This window comes from Homo sapiens, chromosome 15 (genome assembly GCF_000001405.40).
Source record: "Homo sapiens chromosome 15, GRCh38.p14 Primary Assembly".
Taxonomy (NCBI): Eukaryota; Metazoa; Chordata; class Mammalia; order Primates; family Hominidae; genus Homo; species Homo sapiens.
The window spans coordinates 65958112-65980132 of NC_000015.10; the positions used below are offsets into that span (position 1 = coordinate 65958112).

General features: G+C 48.0%; 1 protein-coding gene across 25 annotated transcripts in view, besides 1 other annotated feature; it reads right to left on the reverse strand.

The window, feature by feature from the left end:
- Positions 1 to 22021, reverse strand: part of MEGF11 (multiple EGF like domains 11) — a 358452-nt gene that overhangs the window by 62813 nt on the left and 273618 nt on the right. For 23 of the 25 annotated variants that reach the window (NR_169555.1, NR_169554.1, NR_169558.1 and 20 more), the window contains 2 exons: positions 12442 to 12578; positions 6797 to 7009 (listed from right to left, as the gene is read on the reverse strand). Coding sequence is in view for 20 of the 25 variants with exons in the window: in NM_001385030.1 (NP_001371959.1) it covers positions 6797 to 7009; positions 12442 to 12578 (350 nt within the window). In the remaining 5 variants the exon portion in view is untranslated. Of the gene's footprint in view, positions 1 to 6796; positions 7010 to 12441; positions 12579 to 13054; positions 13483 to 22021 lie in introns of those variants that run through there. The other 2 variants (XM_017022674.3, XM_017022675.3) reach the window with 2 other exon arrangements.
- Positions 6441 to 7417: an enhancer, noted in NCBI's record as "H3K4me1 hESC enhancer chr15:66256890-66257866 (GRCh37/hg19 assembly coordinates)". NCBI's record gives its function as "activates a minimal SCP1, AML or CMV promoter by ChIP-STARR-seq in primed H9 embryonic stem cells {active_cell/tissue: H9 hESC(primed)}" and the evidence as "EXISTENCE:reporter gene assay evidence [ECO:0000049][PMID:30033119]".

Consider the following 22021-nt stretch of genomic DNA (forward strand, 5'->3'; position numbering starts at 1 on the left):
GTGAATGCCTAGTGTGGGAACAGGACAAGAAGGTAGCAATGATACCCCAGTGGCTCTCCACATTGTAGGTGTTCAATGAATGTTGGGCTGAGTGAAAACAAGACTTTGGGCCAGATGTGGCCTCCTCTCTCTGGCAATGTCTGCCCTGGAGAGAGCAACCCCAACCTACGCTTTGCCAGGCTCTTTAACAGTGAGCAAGCTCTTCTCCATCTCCTGTTTAGGCTAGAGAAAGGACCATTCGGCTAGAGGCAGGGGATCCCTGGCATGACCTCCAGAGAGTAGGGCAACCTCTAGCTGGCAGCCATCTGATCCAATAGCCAATGTCTATTCATGATCAGCGGGATGCCAGTTGTAACCATGTGCTGTTCAGAACTTCTGCGGGAGCATAATTGACCTATGGCCCCAGTGCTGAGTTTGAAATCCAGAGGCCACATTTCCCCTGCGCCACTTCCAGCTGGAACACAGCAGGGATACTAAGGTGGGCACACTCTTGGGAGATCTGGGACTCCTCTGATGGTTACCTTGGCTTTAAGATACCCCATCCTGGCAAACTTTCTTAGAACCGTGCTGTGGGTTAAGACTCTTTCTCCCAACTTTCCTTCCTTCCTTACATGTGATCTGTCAGCTGTCCCAGCCTCCTCAGCTTCCTCCCCACTTTCCCTCACAGATGCTTCCCCTAGTAAACCTCTTGCTCTTGGTATCTGCTTCTGGAGCAGCTCAAACTAACACACCAAAGAAGTGCTGGGTGGTAGAGACAAGCCTTTTAGATTCCTTGTGGCACTGGCCTGCCTGCTCTGGAGCCCAGCTCTGGGGATAAGGTCAAGAGAAGCATGCCCTGGGCTGGCAGGGAGAACCTGGGGCAAGTCTTGGTTCTGCTAACTTCCATGGGGCCTTGGCACCTTGCCCCGCTGGACCATTGGTGGATCCCCAACACCTGGCTCATATTCACTGCCCTGGTGAATATTTGGGAAATGAATACAGCTTCCTCTAAATATAATTATCTTCCATTGATTCTTTATTCTTTTCTACTGATTTATCATCTGTCTTCTCCACTAGGTTGCAGCTCCGTGGGGGAGAGCCGTTTGTCTTGTTCCCTTCTCAGGGCCCAACAGAGTCCCTGGCACACTGGAGGTGCTTAATATATATTTAGAAAATTAATTAATGAGCAAACTAATTGTGTGAAGCCTAGCCAAGCTGTTTCTCTTCTAGGGACCCTGGTTTTCTCACAGAAAATGAGGGGGTGGACAGGAACAGGCAATTCCTGAATAATACTTGCAAGTAGCTAGTAATCATTTCAGAAAAGTGTTTAGTCTCATTAATCAAGTCTAAACAACAATTGGACACCACTTTTCCTCCATCAAAACAGTGAAGATGCTTTAAAATGCTGGTAAAGGTTTCAAAACAATCTGAGGCTACATATCAGGAGACTTACTTTTAAGTCTTTAATACTTTAATACTTTTATTCAGACTCTGGTCTCATAATTCCATTTCTAAGACTCTATCCTAAGGAAATAATCATAGCTGTGGAGAAAGATTTATGCACAGAGATGTTCCCTGAAGCATTATTTATAACAGTGGAAAATGGAAGCAATTTAAATGATAATAAATAATATGTGACTAGGCTATTGAGGCACCAGGCACGTTATATATATATTTCTAATCGTCAAATAAGCCTGTGAATTAGGTATTTGAGCCTGTATTTCACAGATGGCATTTAGAGGTTATGTGACTTGCCCAAGGTCACATAGCTAAGACAGTGAGTGGCAAAGCTGTGATTCAAACCCAGGTCTGTCTGGCCACATTTTGTCCACTGCCTCATGCCACCTCTCACCACAGGGCATTGGTTAAATGAATTATGACATCCATATGAAGGAATGCTAAGAGATGTATTCAGTTGTTTCTCAAAATGTTTAATGATATAAGGTCAAGTGAAATAAGCACTTTGTATACAAAGCCATTTCTATCAATCAATGCTGCATCTGTTGGCTAAATCAAATCTTTCAAATATGAAAATATATCAAATCTAAAATATGAAAACGATATAGACATCGACAGATTTACCCCAAAATGGCTTTTGTGCTATCTCTGGATTGAGAAACTGAGTGATGCTAAGTTTTTTCTTTAAATGTATTCCCTAACTTACCAAAACTGAGCATCTATTTTATTTATAAACAGATGTAAAGCAATAAAAATTGTAAATATCTAACGAAGAAGAATGGGTGTAAAGGATGAGTGTTCAAAGACTTTCTGACCTTTACAGTTTGAGAAAAATTCCTCTCTGAGCCCCAAGGCACTGGAAGGGGAGACAGCGACCTGCGTGGGTATCGTGGGGAAGGCGTGCCCCTTGGTGGCCCTGACGCTCTGCTAGATGGTTTTGGAGCACTCTTCTCTTTAGGTTGCATCTTTCCAAGAGCTTCCTTTGAGGTTTAGGGTTAGCGTAGAGAGACTGGCTCAGTCACGGTTGTGGAGACTGACATGCTTGAACCTAGGAATGACCTGGCAGGTCTTGGCTGCAGCCATCAGCTCTGCTGAGCACTGGAGATTCTAAAAGGTCTCAGGCACCTTTCTGTCTCTTCCATCAATAGATGCTTCTGCTGTCTCTGCCTAGCAAATGGTCACGCTGGAGCTCATCCATTACACGCTCTTATTTTGGTGAGGGCACCACCTGGTGAAAAGCACACTCCACACACAACGAGCTAGCAAATGCTGACCTAAGTACTCTTTGCATTTCCTGCTTTTGATCTCTGCTGCCATCACTTTGGCTGCTCAGGGATATGTTAGGCACTAATTTTACTCTTTACTCTGAGAACCAGAAGGCTCAAAACCAAATCTAAAATCATTCCTTTTTTTTTTTCATATCCCTACAATTCTTCTAGAAATGGGATATCTACTTTCTTAATTTGATTACTCTACTTATCTTATAGAAACTCCAAAAGTCCCTTTGAAAAGAGGATGGAGAGTGACAGCTGACTGATCATGATGGAGAGCTGTGATTGCCATGCTTGGAACCTTTGTCCCTCAGCAGAGTGACTTGCACAGCCCCTCTCCCAGGCATCCCTTCTTCCTGGTGGTGGTCCCCATTCTCTTGAGTCACATGGCAGGCCAGGGACTGCTGTTTTTGGCTCAGGCAGAAGTTACAGTCACTTGTGTTTAGCCTGGTTCCGTTCTCTCTGGTTTTTTCTTTTCTCCCATTTCCCCCAGACATAGATTAATCACAAGTTAATAGGAACCAAAAGCTGAACAATACAGGAATCCTTCCAGAGTGGATTTTTCTGCCTTTCTTTCAGCTGCTATGAGATTTCTATCAATGCTGCATCTGTTGGCTAAATCAAATCTTTCAAAGGTAATACACGATCATGGCTGCTGGAATTAGTCTATGACAACCCAATTGTGGAGGGGACATTTAAGATCCCTGACACACAGGTGCTTTCTCTCTCAAGGTTATTCCTGTATAAAGGAGGATGGTTTCTTTGTGTGTGCTGCAAATAATTGATAAAGGGAATGAAGAGTTGGAGAATCTCACCAGCCACTTCTTCCTTCCCAGGGCATGGATTCAATCTCTGTGCAGCAGCCTTGCCGGAAGGGCACAGACCAGAGAGAGGCTGGAGCTGGGTGGCTAGGGCTTTCTTTGGCTGGGGGCTGGGATTACTTTTTCTGCCTAGGAAAGATGCTCAAGACCTTGCACACTGTTGTGGTGGGGGCTTTGTTGTAAGTTCTGCAGAAGGCAGGGAGCTTTGAGGCTAGGCTTCTAGGGATCCCACGTTCCTTATCTCAGGGAGTTGGGTGGAAGCTTCACGTTCAAAGACCACAGGAAAACATTTCCCCCACTGGGTTGATGAAAGGTGATGGACAGATTGGGAAACGTATGCATAGAGAGGAGAAGAAGGACGTATATCTTATGTGCATATATCAAGTGCCCTTATTACGGATACTTGCTTAGACAGAGATAGGTTTGAGGGCAGGACTCAGAAGTCCCAATCCCCACTCAGTACCTGAACTTTAACTGTCTTAAGATTAGAAGTCACAGAGTCATTCCTTTGCTTTTCTTGAATCTCAAGAGAAGACTCTATAATGGGCCAAAAAAGGCTCATGGGAAGAGAGGGGCTGCCCTCCATCCACATAGAGGAAGAGAGCTGTTTTCTGGTGTCCATAAGAACAATCAAGCGCAGCACGAGAGAGTTCATTTAGCCCAGAGGCTCTCAACCTCTGGGAATTTTTCCTGCCCCACCCCACCCTGGGACATCCGGCAATGTCTGGAAACATTTCTGATTGTCAGAACTTGGGCAGTGGAAGAAGGGTGCTACTGGCATCTAGTGGGTAGAGGCCAGGGATGCTGCTCAACATTCTACAAAGCACAGGACAGCCCTCTACAACAAAGAATTACCCAGCCCAAAATGTTCATGGTGGCAAGGTTGAGAAACCCTAACTTCAACTGAACAAAAACTTTGTGCCAGGGGCTCAGTCACTGGGCCAGTGTACCAAGAGAAAGGGAGAAATATGTTTTTTTAAAAAATAGGGTTGACGTCAGCTAATGGGTAGAACCTCCTAGAGGGATGGGCTGTTTAAGATGAGTTCAGGGACTCCTCTTACTGAAGGCCTACTCTGTGCAGGCACCGTGCAATGCTGAGGCTAGAGGCCACAGGGATGGACAAGCCAGGCTGCTGGTGCCCTCAAGGAGGTGGTGATGCAGACTCAGAGGAGACCAGGCTGGGGAGTAGACTGGTGGGCACGCTCAGAGCCCCCACTCTGAAGAACTGCTACTCCCTCCCAGTCCCTGAAACATGATACGTTTTAAAGACAGTAAAGCAAATAATCATCAATATTGGATGGGCTGAGATTAGCGGGAGAGAAGAGGGGGAGTCCTTTCAGATTAATAATGCATCGAGGACTCCTTCAGAGGAAGGATGAATTATACAGGGCATGGTTGCCCAGGCACAGGAGGAAAACAGTAACCCTTTAATTTGGGGCTTGGTTAGATTTCTGTGGCAGGAGCTCCCTGCATTGGACCCCGGCATCAGCCTTGCTTCCTGTCTTGGAGAGGGTCCTCCCTCAGCTTCCCAGCAGGAGCGACAGATTCTGGAATCTTAATATTTAGACACATGCAACAGTCTGAGCCAGCTGCCCAGTCCCCTGACCAGCCATATGAGATTTCTGTAATTAGCGCCTTGGAGCTCTCACTCTGCTCTCCAAACCCAGCCCAGATGCCACCTCTTCTAGGAAGCCTTCCCTGACCAGCATCACATAGTCCTGGGTCACAGTTACTTGGGCACATGTTGGGACCCAGCAGGGCCAGCCACATATATTTCATCAGTTCTAAGATGTACTTCTCCTCTACATTTTCACATCTCTGATATTGGGTAATTCATATCTCTGATATTGGCTATACAATCAATGGTATGTCATGGTTCAGTTGATAGAATTTTCCTAGTAGTAACCCAAATAAAGCTATGCCTCACTACTGGTATTGTCTTGTATTTGAAGAAATACGGTAGAAGGTGCTCGGGGTTTCCTCCTCATAGCCCAGCCCTGTGGGCGCTCAGTGTTTGTTGAATGAATGACCGAGTGAATGAATGCTCAGGTCATGGACAGGCCAGCTCCACTGGCTCTAGCACCCTCTCTGGACAGTCTCTTTCCCGGGCCTTCCACCTCTGCCTCACACCACCCCAGCTGCTCCACTCCAGGGAGGGAGGACCTTTTAGTTTAACTCGTTAACACTTGCCGACATGCCTCTGCTTGCAGTGAACGAGGCTCCAGAGTGATTTGTGAAAGATCAAAGCCTGGAAATGAAGAGGGGCCCAGGCTAAGTCCTGGCCGTCCCAGCGACAGGGCTGCAAAGCAGAGGGATTCTCTGTCTGCCCTGCCAACAGCAGCAGCACCCATGCCCAGGGTGGCCGGTCTTCCCTGGGCTGTCCGTAGGCCTGAGGGAGAAGGGATGCTCCCCTGACCTTCATCACCCAGATAAGAGGCAGCCACGATAAAGGGCTGTGGGGGCGTTCATCCAGGGCTGACAGTCTCAATTGTTACCTGGGGCAGTGCCAGCTGGTGCGTGAAGCGGGCAGGGAGGGGAGCTGGGAGCAGTAGCCCAGAACAGCTCTGCCTTCACAGGTTCAGGCTCCTTTGGAAGTGGGGGGTGGAGGGACAACTTCTGCCCGGATGTCCCCAAGCCACAAACGACACAGAGTGCTGGGGGAGGGGCTGGCCCCAAGTTCAGGCCCTGATAAAGGGCTGCCCCTGTTGTTCCTGCTCCTCTAGCCTTGCCAGGGTCTGCTGGGACAACCCTCCTTAGGCCCTGGATGGCCCTCGTGATTTTTAAGGTCCCTTCGAGTCCTGACCTTCTGCAGCTCAAGCCTCTACTTCTGCCCTGGTGCCCGTGTCTCTGGTTGGATGCCACGCAAGTGGAGGGAAATATTCTCCAGGACAATGTGCTCAGAGCTTGTGGCACCCGAGCCCTGCCATCCTAGCCCCCAGGGTCATGCAGCTGTGCTCCACCCCACCTCCTTGTTCTCTCCTTGCTCCCATGTGTGGAGTCTCAGACAGGCACATTTGGAAATGCAGGTAGCCAGGTGGGGTGGACAGAGGTGAGTGATCTGGCTCTAGTCCTGACTGTGGCTATGTGGCCTTGGCTTCCCCTTCTTTTCATCAAAGTGGTTCTCAGGGCTCAGTGCTGAGGTCCTAGCCCTTTCCCCCACCTGCCTGGATGTCCATGCTAGAGGTGGGGGGCCACATCCTAGCAAGCCTCCTCTCTACCTGAGCACCCCCCGCCCTTGTCCCGGGCTCGCCCATTCCCAGCTCATACCTGATGGTGTTGTCAGCGTCACAGGGGCAGGGCAGGGTGCAGCCTGGGCCATGCAGGCCCTCCGGGCACAGTCGCTCCTGGCAGCGTGGGCCCTTGTAGCCAGGCTCACACTCGCAGGCACCCGTGGTGGGTGAACACTGCCCCCCATTGTGGCAGTCACAGTGCTGTGAGCACTGGAAGCCGAAGGACCCGAAGGGGCACTCCTCTTGGCACCTGTGGGAGAGCAGAGTGGGGCTGAGGCTGTGGGCCAGGATCCCTCACCTGTGCTTCAAGATCCTCCAGGATGTGGTCCTCCTGGCCATCTGGCCCAGGCCTGGTGTGCTCCACGCTGCTCACAGCCTCCTCCCCTTTTCTCTCTCCTCCTCCAGGAAGTAGTCCATGGTTTAGTTCGCCCCAGTCATTTCTGCCTTTCATGCCAGGTCGGCTCAGTCCCCCCAGCAATGAGTTTGTACCACCATATTTTATTGATTCCAAGCCTAATAATTTTTAAAAATTAAAGTTGTGGTGAAATATACAGGTTATGGTTTAAATGTTTCTCTCAAAATTCTCATTGAAACTTAACACCCAATGCAATGGTATTAGGAGGTGTGGCCTTTGGGAGGTGATTAGGGTATGAATGGATTAGTGCTTTCATAAAAGGGGCTGGAGGGAGCCAGTGAGGTCCCTTTCTTTCTTTCTTTCTTTCTTTCTTTCTTTTTTTTTTTTCTTTTTTTTTTTTTTGGCTCTTCTATTCTTTTCGCCCTCTGAGGATGCAGGCTTCAAGGCACCATTTTGGAAGCAGAGATTGGGGCCCTCATCAGACACCAAACCTGTCGGCCCCTTGATCTTGAACTTCTCAGCCTCCAGAACTGTGAGAATCAATGTCCATTGTTTATAAATTACTCAGTCTTGGGTATTTTGTTATAGCAGCATGAGCAGACTAAGACAGTACACCCCATAGAATTGACTGTTTTAACCACGTACAGTTCAGTGGCATTAAGCACATTCGCACTGTTGTGCCACATCACCACCACCCATCTCCAGAATGTTTCCGTCTTCCCAAACTGAAACTCTGCACCCATTAAACAAAAAACTGTTTAGGTAGGTTTAAAAACACCTTGCTTTTTTTGTTTGTTTGAGATGGAGTCTCACTCTGTTGCCCAGGCTGGAATGGCATGATCTTGCTGCAACCTCCGCCTCCCAGGTTCAAGCTATTCTCCTGCCTCAGCCTCCCGAGTAGCTGGGACTACAGGGGTGCACTGCCACGCCCAACTAATTTTTGTATTTTTACTAGAGACGGGGTTTCACCATGTTGTCCAGGATGGTCTCAATCTCTTGACCTCATGATCCGCCTGCCTCGGTCTCCCAAAGTGCTGGGATTACAGGCATGAGCCACCTTGTTTTTAAAAGATATTTTTATATCTCTGAAATTAGATAAGTCTTGTAATTGGTGACATGTCATAGTTTAATTGCCAGTGTTTTTCATTCTTTGCAGCATATGAAACAGTGATGCATCTTACGATCAGTGGCACCTTAGGTTTGATGAAATGGGGTGATTTTGTTTCTATACAGTATCTCTGGTTTTTGAGCCTTTGGGCCAGATGTACAGTCTCTCTTGTCCTACTGGGAGACATATCTCCTCCCTGACTGCGGATTTTCCCTCGAGTAGAGGAAGCGTCTTCCTGCATTGGACTATAGAATGCCCTGTGACAAGGCTATTTTCCCTTCCTTGGAAGAAGGTCCCCTCAAGGTAGGGTCTGAGTCTCTCCCATCAGCCTGTGAGCCCCTAAGGAGGAAGCCTGGGACCACCTTTGTGTCCTGTGTGTGTCTGGGCTAGTACTTGGAGATCCCAACATAAGGATAATTATTCAACTTCATTTAACCCACAGCCATGGGTGTGGCTCCTCCGTGGGCGAGTGTGACCCCCCACTGCTGACCACCTGGTTTCCTGAATGTGCCTCAACACCCCTTACCCCCACCCTGGGCTCTTTCCCAGAGGATGCAGACTTATTGTCACAGCAACTAGATCCGGATAAGTCAAGGGTTAAACCTGGAGGAATAGGGGTAAAAGAGGGGGATGACTTCTGGCATCCCAAAGACAAATGGAAATGGCCTCTAGCCTCTGGGGTTCTGGGATATCTTTGTTCCAGCACTGATTCAACAGTGCGGATAATGGAGAACTAACCTAAAGCTCTGACATCCTCTTCTTTTTCATAAAATGGGACGATACTCACTAAACCTCATCGGGTTCTGTAAGAATTAAATGGGATAATGCGTGTAAACATTTAGAAAGGCGCCCAGACCATAATTGGGGCTCAATTAGAAAAGTTAGTTATTTTCACTAGTACTCATGTTAATATTGTTTTCAACAGTTCTTATAACAGAGCCCATCTGACCTTCTGGCCTTAAATTCAGGCATGAAAAAGCCCAAAGGGAAAAATTCTAAAATGTTAATAGTAGAGTGGATTTAAGGAGTTAGTGTTTTAATTATCATATGTTTCCATTTTCCAGGCTTTCTGTATATCTTCTACAGTAATCAGAGGGGAAAAGCAATTTAAAAAAAAATACAGCTCTAACTTCTTTATTATGTATTTTGGAGGATCGTGGGGGTGGAAGTATTCTTCTACAGACAGGGCAGGGAGATTCTGTGTCTGGATGACTCAGTTGTCTATGGTGAGGGTGAGTGGTCAGACCCTCGTGGATGTGGCAGGGCCAGCTAGCAAGTGTGTGGGGGATGAGAGCAGCCAGTGTGTGGGGCACCAGCCTTGGCAACTTGAGACTGGGGTGTCCTTGTCTCTGTTCTGTGCCTTTGCTGCTCTGTGCCCACAGTGACAAGGAGAAGAGGACGGTGACTGGGGTCTGGCCTTGAGTGCTTCCTTCCCAAGAAGATGCCACTAGCTCTCCCCTCTCAGAGCCACTGTAGCAAAGGAGTGATCTGGCAGAATAGTGGGGCAGCAGGGATCATGATGACAACACCCCCGGGCACCGTATACTGAGGGGCTTCCAGCTGCTCAGGCCCCAGAGCCTGTCCCCAGCCCCTGGAGCAGCACATATTCTCATCACCCTCACTTTAGAGTTAAGGAGGCTGCCATGAGACAAGTGAGGCAACTGCTCCAAGCTCACGCAGCCTGCATGTGGCTAAGATGACCCCAGATTGTCTTTCTGCAAATCTTGTCATATTTCAGCCAATCTGAGGCCTCATGAAGGGAAAGAGAGCAGAAAAGAGAGGGAAGAGGAGGCAAGAAAGAAGGTGATGTCTGGAGAAGGAATGGAAAGTAGAAGACAGAAGGAGGAGAAGTAGAATGGGGGAAGGGAAGGAGGGAAACTGAGGCAGAAGGGGAGGAAAAAGAGCAGCTGAAGACCCAAATAATCACTATCTGAGTTGCCAGCCCCTGTTCAGCCTGCAAATGGATTTCTCCAGAAGTCACTGTGCTTTGCTGGCCTCGAATGTCTCAAATGTCGGGTGAAAAACTCAAACCAGATACCTCCTGATACCTGTTCCTTTTCAAACATTCCTGCTCCCTCCTGCTTAGCAGGACTGGACAGAGCCCTGAACCCTAAACTCCTCTGAAGGGCAATTCCCTAGCCCACTATATTTTTGGGGTGCCTGGATCTACAGCCCCAGAAAAACAATCTGGAAATGAAATATTGACAACCTAATTCATTTACTTAATCAGCCTCTTTTTTTTTTCCCTACTCACAATTTAAACAACTTATTTATTTAGAGATCAAGCAACGATGGCTAATGAATTTTACACAAAGCATGCTAATAATGGGGCCTGCGGAACAGAAGGATAATCACAGCAGGAATTAGTTTTCTACTTAAACATCCTTCCTTTGCACCATATCAATCTAATGTGTCCAATATTGCCATTAACAACCAGATACATTGCTCAATTAAATTACAAAATGAGCTGCAAAGCCCTCGTTACATTTCGTGTTTAATTTGCACTGGTTTCTGCCTATCCGGGGAGGCCTGCATTATTACACCCACTCAACTTTAATATGCTCATGATGATTTGGGGTGGGTTAATGCAGCTGTCACCTACGAAATTAATGGAGGCAATTTTACAAAATATTAAACACCAGGCAGCCCGTTTAGGTGAGAAGCCCAAATGCTGCCTGGCCTCCTATTGAACCCTCCTGTGGTTGATTGGCAAAGCTTGCTGGAGGGCCCCTTGGCTTTAGGGGTTCCTCTCTGCCCAGGATCATGGACCAGGCTCCAACAAGCAGAGAGATTTTGGATTCTTTCTCTATTTGGCACATCTCGACAGGGAAAATCGACAGCACCAATGAGCTAGGGTCTACTGGTATGGAGTCCAGCCGGCTAGAGCCCTGGGCCTGCTCATTTCCAACAACAAGCGGGCGGTTTGCACTCTCATGAGAAAGTGGACTGAAAAAGGAGTCCTGTGCTGGCTTGAGGATCTTCCTGATTCCAGTCCGTACTGGCTCATCCTGAGCATTTCCTTATTTGGGGAGATGGTGAGGATGGGAACATGCACTCAATGTTTCAGCCCTCTCTCCCATGGGTCAGGGAGGGATGGATCCCCAGATGCCACACCCCACGTTCTATGCTGGGGAACAGTGTTGATGAACACTGGCTCACAAAGAGATCAGATCTGGCTTAAAAGACTTCCAGCTGGAGGTAAATAAGCCCAAGGCTAATGGACAATCTCTTTTCTGGACATCACTAAGGATTTGGGGCTGATTCTAGTGGGAGCTGGAGGAGCCCCGATTATGTCTATTAGAAATGGAGGGATTCATTGGTTAACTCAGCCTACATCCCGGCTTTCTGATGTCACCCAGGCATGGAATGATGAAAAATGTTTCCTCATTTTGTCTGAGAAGAGTATAAAGTCCAAGAGCCAGAAATGAAACATGGATCCCCACAGAACCAGGCATGGGGTGTGGGGGCTGCCTCTGTACGGCCCTTCTCTGCTTGAAGAGATCCATGTGGTCAAGAGTGAGAGGGAGGAGACTTGGCCTGGGTTCTGTGGGTTTCAAATATCTTTTTCCAGCTTCCAATCTACTCACCATCACACACACCGGTTGCTGTTTCTCCCTTTTCCTCTGCACCTGCCCTGTCATCATGGCCTCCTTCTTCCCGCTGTGGCACATGTGCACACATGGCAATTCCCCAGTTCTGTGTTTTTTTGATTATCCACTCTGCAAGGCTGGTTTCATTCCAGGACATTGGCACCGTCCTTCAGTCTGCTCTTAAGCCACAAGCCTTCAGAGGATGCAAACTGATGCCAGTATCCTTTTGGTGGAACCCAAATTAGGACTAAAAATGCCCTTCCAGAAGAAATCGTGCAAAACATATGAATGAAGTGATTTTGTACTCTCAGCTTCCTTGGATTATCTGTGCCATTGCCTCCCTCTATGAGTGCAGAGAGTAGAGAGTGGGGGCAGGTGCTCACCTCCTTCCCCCAGGTGAGCCCATTTAAATTCAGGGCTTGGGCCACTAGGCTAGAGAAGAGGGTGTCTCTGCAGGCCGAGGGTGAGGAGGGATCAGGTGCCAACCCTCCCTGGCAGGAGAGCTCAGAGTGCTTTCTGAGAAAGGAACTGGAAGGCTGGCAGAGAGAGGGCTATGAGCTGTTCTCTGCAAGTCTCCTATGAATATGAGTAAAATGGACAGCAAAGATAACAGTTAACACTATCCTTACCTGTCCCCCATGTATCCAGCTGTACAGTGGCACTGTCCAGTCACGTGGTCACACTGCCCTCCATGGTGGCAAGGACAATCCTGGCTGCAGTTCTGGCCAAATGTCCCTGGTGGGCAGGGCTGGGCACACACTGCTCCCTAAAAGAAAGGTGGGAAGACATGCATGGCGGTGCTCCAGAAATGCCAAACTTTCCTGGGAATGGCACACCTGCTGTGGCTCCAGGGACCACCCAACTTCCCAGAAGAAGTTCAGACAGCTGGACACCAGGGCTCCAAAGCCCTCCTCTTAGAGATGGGAGATGGGAGACTGAGGCCAACTTGCTCATCCAGTTATTCAGCACAATTTAGGAACTGCCTATTGTATACGAGGTGCTGTGTGAGACACTAGGGGTGATTCGATTTGATTCCTGTCCTCCTAGTCTACCACAGAAAGAGCCAAAAAAACCGCTAAGTACAAGGCAGTAAGTACTCTCACATGGGTACACAGTAAAGTGCTGAGAAGACATAAGGAAGGAGGCTGAGTAAACATGCTGGTATGGAGACGTGCACTTTGCTCAGCTTCTTTCTCAAACCCAGCTGACATGAGAGTCAAAGGGGTACAGGTATAAACCCACAAAGAAAAGAGGAATAGGAGACAAAGGATGTCACACACTGGAAGATGGAAAAGCAGGTGGAGGAGTGATAACTGCTTTGGTTTCTGCTTCCTGGGCAATGTTAAGTGCCTGCAAAGGGAGCGTCACAATGCTGGATGATGAAATCCTTTGTAACCTCAAAAAGCTCAGGAATCAGAGACACTGGGACCCTCCGAAGGTGAAGGTGCAGGTATGATCAAAACAGGACTGTTTGAAAGTTTATAAAATAGGGAATTAGACCCCCAATCTCTGCCCCCACCTTGAATAGCAGCCAGGTGAATTGTCCAAGTCTTTCAGAGAGGTTGGTGTCACAGGCTGTGGACAAGGGACACAGGCACAGATGAAGGTGGGGGTGGAACTCTCCTGCTGCTCTCTTCCCTGCTGCGCTCCTAAAGGCTGACTGCCGGACTGAACTCCCTGTGGCAGGAGGTTGGAGGGTTCCTTTCTAGGGACACTGAGGAGCTCAAGAGAAATGACCTAAAGATATTGATAGTTGAGGGTCCCATCAGTCAACACGCCTGACATCTCCCTCCACCCCCAGGTGTCCAATTGGCTTTTCTGGGGCTCACTGTAAAACATGAACAGATGGCCAAGGATCACCAGATATTTGAAATAGGCCCTCACATGAAAGAGAAACACTGAAATAAACAAATAGGCAACAGGAACACAGAGGAAATAGGAACCATGCCTGGAGCAAGGAAAACCTAAAAAAAGAGAAGGAAAAAAGCCTCTGTCATAATTAAAATGAACATGCTCATGTAGCTATAAGAAAACATTGCACCTATGAAAGAACAGAGTGCTATAAAATAGGATATCCAGAGAATAGGAAAGAGGTCTTGAAAATTAAAAATAAAATGGTGGAAATTAAAATGTTGCAATAGAAGAGCCAAAACATAAAGTTGAGGAAATTTATAAAGTATACCAGAGAGAGAGAGACAAAGATAGAGAGATGAGATTAAAAATAATAGAGAAAATATAGAGGACCAATTCAGGTGGTCTGACATCTAATTAACAGGAGTTCCAGACAGTAGAACAGAGAAAATAGAGGTGAGTAAATTGATGGAAAATATAATAAAATTTCCCAGAATGGAAGGATGGAGAACCTGGGTTTCTGAACTGAAAAGGCCTACAAAGTCTTTAGCAAAAATATAAAACAAGACCCACATCAAGGCATGTTATCGTAAACTTTTATATCTCTGTGGATAAAGAAATGATGTTAACAGATTTTAGAAAGAGGAAAACAGGCTAGGTATGGTGGCTCATGCCTATAATTCTAGCACTTTGGGAGGCTGAGGCGGGAGGATCTCTTGAGCCCAGGAGTTGGAGACCAGCCTAGGCAACAAAGCAAGATCTCATCTCTACAAAAACAAATAAAAATGAAAATACAAAGAGGAAAACAAACATACAAAAATCAGGAATTAAGAGGGTTTAGACTTCTTAACTGGAAGCCAGAAGACAATGGAGCAATGCCTTAAAAATCCAGAGGAAAAAAATAATTTCCAACTTAGAATTCTACACCCAACTAAACTAACACTCAAGTAGGGGACTCAGTAAAGACATTTTCAGATTTGAACAGCCTCAAAAAGTTAACCTTCCATAAACACTTTCTCAGAAAGCTATTGTAGGATTTGTTTTCCATCAAAAAGAATTACTCAAGAAAGCTGGGCACGGTGGCTCACGCCTGTAATCCCAGCATTTTGGGAGGCTGAGGTGGGTGGATCACCTGAGGTTCCAGACCAGCCTGACCAACATAGAGAAACCCCGTCTCTAATAAAAATACAAAATTAACCGGGCGTGGTGGCACATGCCTGTAATCCCAGCTACTGGGGAGGCTGAGGCAGGAGAATCGCTTGAACCTGGGAGGTGGAGGTTGCAGTGAGCCAAGATCACACAACTGCACTCCAGCCTGGGCAACAAGAGCAAAACTCTGTCTCAAAAAAAAAAAAAAAAGAATTACCCAAGAAAAAGAAAGGCATGAATTCCAGGAACTAGGGACTGCAACAGAAGACAGAGGTAAAAGGAATCCCAGGATAGCAGTGAAAGGAAGCCCCAGATGACAGCTATGCTGCAGGCCTGGAGAGCAAAGAGTTAAAGAGTTCAGACTGGAACAGAAGAGACAGGCTTCTAAGAAACTTGCCTCAAAAACAAAACAAAAGCAAAAACTGGAGAGACTTCTAATGGGTCTGACCTTATTGAGAGGAGTTTGAGAGCTCTGTTAGAGAGTTTTAAGGATAAATTAGTAACAATACACATGTATATTAACATAAATATTAAAAAATAATTTAACCAAACTGGACATGGTGGCACCTGTCTGTAGTCCCTGCTACTCAGGAGGCTGAGGCAGGAGGATCACTTGAGCCCAGGAGTTCAAGGCTGCAGTGAGCTATGATTGTGCCTGTGAATAGCCACTGCCCTCCAGCCTGGGCGACACAGCCAAATCCCGTGTCTTAAAACTTTTTTAAATGATTTAACCACAAATTGTAATATAACTCCACTGGGAGGGTGGGAGAGGGGTTGCGTGTTTGTATGGGTGTGTATGACAGAGCTGAATCTTATTCTGTGGCAGAAAGTCAATGGATTCAATGACTGTCTAAGATGGAAAAGTCAAGAAACGGCTATAAAGCATGTTATGTAGAAAAATGGAGGGAAATGCCAGAAGAAATACCTAAAAGATTTGAAAGTGTTGCCTTTAGGGAGCAGGATTTGTAAATGGAGCAGGGGACTCCCCTGCCCCCCAGTATTAGCCTTGTGGTATTATATAACTTAAAATTACATGCATGAGTCTTAGGTTTTTAACAGATCTGAGCCTGCTCTTGTCTCCTGCTGCCCTTCCAGCCCTGCGCATACCCGACAGTCATTTCTCTTATGGAGATCAAGGATGTTCCTCCAATTAATTAATCAATTAGTTCAACACACAATTATTAAGCACCAATAATCACCAACCCTGCAGAAGCTAGTTTATTCAGGAAAATTGTGCCAGACCAGAGTCATCTTTCAAGATCATCCAGTTTACTTGTAATGAGTTAAACAGGAGGCCATTCAGCTTAGACTCTCCTCCACACACAAGTCAGAAGTAGGGGGGCTAAGAGGAGGGGCTGAGGCGGGGAGGGGAGGGAGGAGTGAAGGGCAGAAGCAGCCGAGGACAGTGAGAGAATGCGTGTGTGTGAGAAAAGGGGAGAGAAGAGTCACTCAGGCCAGGTGCGGTGGCTCATGCCTGCAATCTCAGCACTTTGGGACATCAAGGCAGGTGAATCATTTGAGGTCAGGAGTTCAAGACCAGCCTGGCCAGCGAGGTGAAACTCCATCTCTAGTAAAAAATACAAAAATCAGGCGTGATGGCAGGTGCCTGTAATCCCAGCTACTCGGGAGGCTGAGGCAGGACAATCACTTGAACCTGGGAGGCGGAGGTTGCAGTGAGCCAAGATTGTGCCACTGCACTCCAGCCTGGGCAACACAGTGAGACTCCATCTCAAAAGAAAAAAAGAAAAGTCAGAGTAGGGGTCCTTCTTCCTCCTGGAGGTGTGGGGGTACTCCAGGCATGGCGGGGGCCTCTCTCAGTGCACATTATAAGTTCTAGGTATTCAAAAGGGAGGAGAAGTCTTTCTGGCTTCTATCTGACTCAGTCTTCTACAGTCCTGGGCTGGATAAGGACACTCTTGGAAAAACTTTCTTTTTTTTTGAGATGGAGTTTCGCTCTTGTTGCCCGGGCTGGAGTGCAATGATGTGATCTCGGCTCATGGCAACCTCCACCTCCTGAGTTCAAGCGATTATCCCATCTCAGCCTCCTGAGTAGCTGGAATTACAGGTGCCCGCCACCACGCCCAGCTAATTTTTGGTATTTTTAGTAGAGATGGGGTTTCACCATGTTGGCCAGGCTGGTCTTGAACTCCTGACCTCAGGTGGTCTGCCTGCCTCAGCCTCCCAAAGTGCTGAGATTACAGGCATGAACCACTATGCCCAGCCAAAAGAGATGGGGTCTCACTCTGTCATCCAGGCTGAAGTGCAGTGGTGCCATCCCAGCTCACTGTAACCTTGAACCTCTGGGCTCAAGTGATCCTCCCGCCTCAGCCTTCTGAGGAGCTGGGACTGCAGGCTCATGCCACCACATCTGGCCAGGTTCCTGTCCTTTTTAGTACTTCTCAGACACAACCAGTGCTCTCTGAGGTCAATAGAGAAGTCTGGTACGTAGAATGCATCCTTCCGGCATTCCCTAGGGAAATCAAGCATCCTTGAGACTTTTTAGTGAAGTGGGTGAGCACCTCTTTCAGCCCCTGCTCAGGATTCCCAAACTGCAGGCATCCAAGCCCGCCGAATCTCTAGTCCTCTTCCCTGGTTTGAGCTCATGGGGCCTGAGAGAATTTGATATCTTGGAGGTCCTGTTGCCTGGTCTGGTGGGAAGAGCACTGGGTTCAAAGTCATGATTTGGGCTCAGATCCCAGCTCTGCCTCCTCCCAGATAGGTGAGCTAGGATAAGTCAGGTGATCATTCTGAGCCTTAATTTTCTCATCTATAAAATGGGAGTAGTAACTCCTAGTCTTCCAGGTGGTTATAAAGACGAAGTGAGATTAGAGATGTGAAGGAACCTAGTACAGTGCCTTAAACAGGGGGCACTTAATTAATAGTAATTGAACCAAGTTGACACCTGATGAGGTGGCACATGGTGGGAGCCCCATATATCCTGAGACTGAGAAGAGTAGAAGAGAACTGTAGGAGTCATCACCCACTGCTGGCTGGAAGAACAGCCTTTTGGGGAGAGGCAGGGGGAGAGAGCAGCCAGAGAAGTCAGCTTAGGAGAGGGCTATGGCCTGTGGTTTCTCTCCTGCTGCAATGAGCTGAAGTGTACCCCTTCAACATTCCTTTTTTTTTTTTTTTTTTTTGAGATGGAGTCTCGCTCTGTTGCCCAGGCTGGAGTGCAATGATGTGATCTCAGCTCACTGCAACCTCCACCTCCCAGGTTCAAGCAATTCTCCTGCCTCAGCCTCCTGAATAGCTGGGATTACAAGCATGTGCCACCACACCCAGCTAATTTTTGTTTTTAGTAGAGACTGGGTTTCATCATGTTGGCCAGGCTGGTCTTGAACTCCTGACCTCAGGTGATCCACCCGCCTCGGCCTCCCAAAGTACTGGGATTACAGGCATGAGCCACCACGCCCGGCCAACATTCCTATGCTGAAGTTTTAACCTCCAGTACCTCAGAATGTGACTGTATTTGGAAACAGGACCTTTACATAGGTAATCAAGTTAAGATGAGGTCATATGGGGGGGCTCTCATCCAACATGACTCATGTCCTTACAAGAAGAGGAGACTAAGACAGACCCAGAAAAAAGACGACATAGAGACACAGGGAGAAGATGGCCATCTACAAGCCAAGGAAAGAGGCTCAGAAGGAACCAACGCTGCCGACACCTTGATCTTGGACTTTCAGCCTTCAGAACTGTGAGAATCAGTTTCTGTTGTTCAAGCCGCCTAGTCTGTGGCACTTTGTTATGGCAGCCTCAACAGATTCATGTACTTGCCCTGTGGTCAGTTAAGTGTGTATCTCCAATTGTAGTGGGATCTTGGACTGCTGTGGCATCTAGAAGGTTGTACATGGGGTAAGGTGATATTTTCTGTTCCTCTCAGAACTGGTTAGACCAAATGGCTTTGTCAAAATCTGGACAACAGTCGCACTTTAAGAGGATCTTGGCGGCCAGGTCCAGTCGCTCATGCCTATACTCCCAGCAATTTGGGAGGCCCGTAATCCCAGTACTTTGGGAGGGCAGATCACAAGGTCAGGAGATCGAGACCGTCCTGTCTAACACGGTGAAACCCCGTCTCTACTGAAAATACAAAAAGTTAGCCGGGCGTGATGGCGGGTGCCTGTAGTCCCAGCTACTTGGGAGGCTGAGGCAGGAGAATGGCATGAACCTGGGAGGCGGAGCTTGCAGTGAGCCGAGATCGTGCCACTGCACTCCAGCCTGGGCAAGATTGAGACTCCGTCTCAAAAAAAAAAGAGGATCTTGGCTAAGTGGAACATAAAAAGAGAAGGGGCCAAGATGGTGAAAGGACTTAAGGCCATGCCAGCTCTCCTGGAGGGGAGGCAACTCAGCCTCATCAAGCATCTGAAGGCATTTCTAATGATCAGTGATGCTCCAGGGTGGCATGGACACCCTCAATGGACAGTGAGCTGTGGTTGGTATGGGTGCTGTGAAGGTGATCCAGGCCACAGGCCGGGAAGTGGGGCTCCATGAATCTTCCTTCTCAAACCTGAGCATCTGTGATGCTAGGCCTCGGCCCCAAAAACTCTCTCCCTCTTTTTTTTTTTTTTTTTTTTGAGATGGAGTCTTGCTCTGTCACCCAGGTTGGAGTGCAATGGCGCAATCTTGGCTCACTGCAACCTCTACCTCCTGGTTTCAAGCAATTCTCCTGCCTCAGCCTCCGAATAGCTGGGATTACAGGTGCCCACGACCATGTCTGGCTGATTTTTTGTATTTTTAGTGGAGATAGGGTTTCACCATGCAAAACCTCTCTTTGGCCCTCTAGGATAACTGGTCCTATTTCCCAGCTCCTCAGCCTCCTCTCTTCCAGTCTTTTCTTTGTGTGTGTGTGTGTATGCATGTAGGCACACACACACTGCATCCAGTCCCCAACGTAAGACTGTGAACTCCTAAGGGTGGGGGATGTCAATCCTATTTCCTCCTGCCTCTCTGTCTCTAGTGCCCACTCACATGAAACTACTCAGACTTGGTTTCTCTGCTTTGAAAGGTCTCAGAGCCCAGAAAAAGAGGAGAAACAATTCCCCAGGCTCTTTGCAAAGACCCCTCCTGAAACAGGCTTCATGTTGGGCTAGCGGAATATCCTGTGGGCATGCTTAGGGCCTGGTGGCCAGGAATCTCTGAGGAGGGGCCTGGAGGGCCAGAGTTCCTAGCAGCTCCTCTCTCCAGTTCCACACAATGGCCTGGGTCTTTGGGGAGGTGCATGGTGTGAATAAGCAATCTCTATATCTCTGAGTTGGAAAATGTGTGGTTGAAGTCACATAGGGCCATTGGGAAGTCAGGCAACAGAAGATGCTAAAGTGGGAAGCCTTCTCCCCAGTATCCATTCCTTGGTCCCAGCTCTCCCTGGGAGGAGCCTCAGGCATGAATGCAACTTCATTATACAGTGACTCTGCATGCACAAGGGGTATTAATGATTCATACAAATCTGCAAGTTAAATGCTATGTCAAAAATAGAAATTCAATTGTCTACAATAAAATTAAAAACATAAAGTCCTCAAATCCAAAGGCTTCTATCGACAGTTTCCTGTCATCTGGAAAAACAAACCTCTTGCTGTGCTGGGGAGAAATACAATCCCTCCATGTGTTTGCTTCTCACCTTCCCCCTGTTCAACCACCCGAGCCTCAGCAGTGTCTCCAGAGAGGCCTTTACAGGCAAAGGGATGCTGTGTGCTTGTTCTCCCCACCACATCCTGATCCAACCTTTCTGCTGCAGCTGGGCCTCTGAGGACCCAGCCTGCTGGGTGGATTTCTGAAAGCTGGTTGGAGATGAGAGGGTCTTTCCAGAGACTGGTTCAGGGTGGAAGAAAAGGTGGTGGCGGTCCCTTTTTCTTCCTCAGAGGAGACAGACAGATGGACAGACAGACACCAAGGGCTGGGAGTCAGAAGACTTGGATTCTAGCTCCACCTCACTCCTAACCACCAGTGTGGACTTGAACAGGTCCCTTACCCTCTCTGAGCCTCAGCTTCTTCATCTGAGAAAGGAAGGTATTGACAGACCAGTGGGATTCAAATCTCTTAAAGCTGGGAAACCCTGTTTTTATGTGAAATCTTACCTAGAGCACCTCAATATAGAAACTAGATTAAAATGGAGAGGTGGGGGTGGGGTGGGCACCAGAGTCCTAACGATTAGGCTCCTGCCCCCACTCTCCGTCAAGAAACCCTAGGGTTCTGTGAAACACAGAAGGAAGTCCTATGGTCTGGATCAGTTCTTTCCAAATGAAGACCTGCAGACAGGACTGGCTGCCTCAGAACCATCTGGGGAGCTTATTAAAAATAGAGATCCCCCAGTCCCAGGAGGTCACAGATGCAGCCTGGGAATCTGTATTTTAACCCCCCACCACCCCCTTGTCAGCTCTGGGGTGCAGTCAGGTTTGGATACTGTGGGACCAAGTGGTCCCCAAGGTCCTTTCCTGCCCTAAAAAAATTCTGTCAAGACTGTGCCTGCATCGATGGGCCCTGCAGGTGTCCTCCCATCTGTCCCTGTGACCTCTGCATTCGCAGCCTCCTAAAATATCCTGCTTCTGCTCAGCAGCCCTTTCCTCTCTGGCTTTGCAAAGCCTCAGGCCCCAGGGGAGGTGGTGGACTGTGTCGCTGAGCTTCCCCTGAAACGGAGCGTGTTACTGGAGAGTCAGAGGCAGGGACGCAGCCCAGGAAGGTCAGCTTCAGCTGACTCACTGCCTGTAAGGGCTTGGTCTGCGAGGCAGGCACTGACAGGCAGGGTATGTTGGCTAAAAGGAGGCTTGTGGAGGGTCTGTGGCACCCAGGGATAGAAATCAAGCTATCATAGAGGGCTTCAGAGTTTGCAAAAGACTTTGGACATGCACAGCCTCACATGAGCCAGCCTCCAACCATGGCAGCTGGGCAGGGCAGGGCTCACTGTTGTTATATCAGTTTTGTACTTGGGGGAAGGGGAGTAATTGAGGCTTTTTTCAGGGTCAACATTGGCTTTGAGACCTGAATTTAGGCCCATGAGGTTACAAATCTTACCCTCCTTTCCCACAGTGGTTTTTCCCAGACATGAGACCTGGGCTGCTTCAGGCTACATCAGAATCACCTATAGTACCTGTTAAAATACAGATTCTGGGGCCCACAGAATCAGAATGTGTGTGTGTGTGCAAGTGCAGGGGGCGAAGTTAGATAAATTCAGGTCATCCATACCTGCTGTTTCTCCTCCTTTCCCAGCCTTTTCTG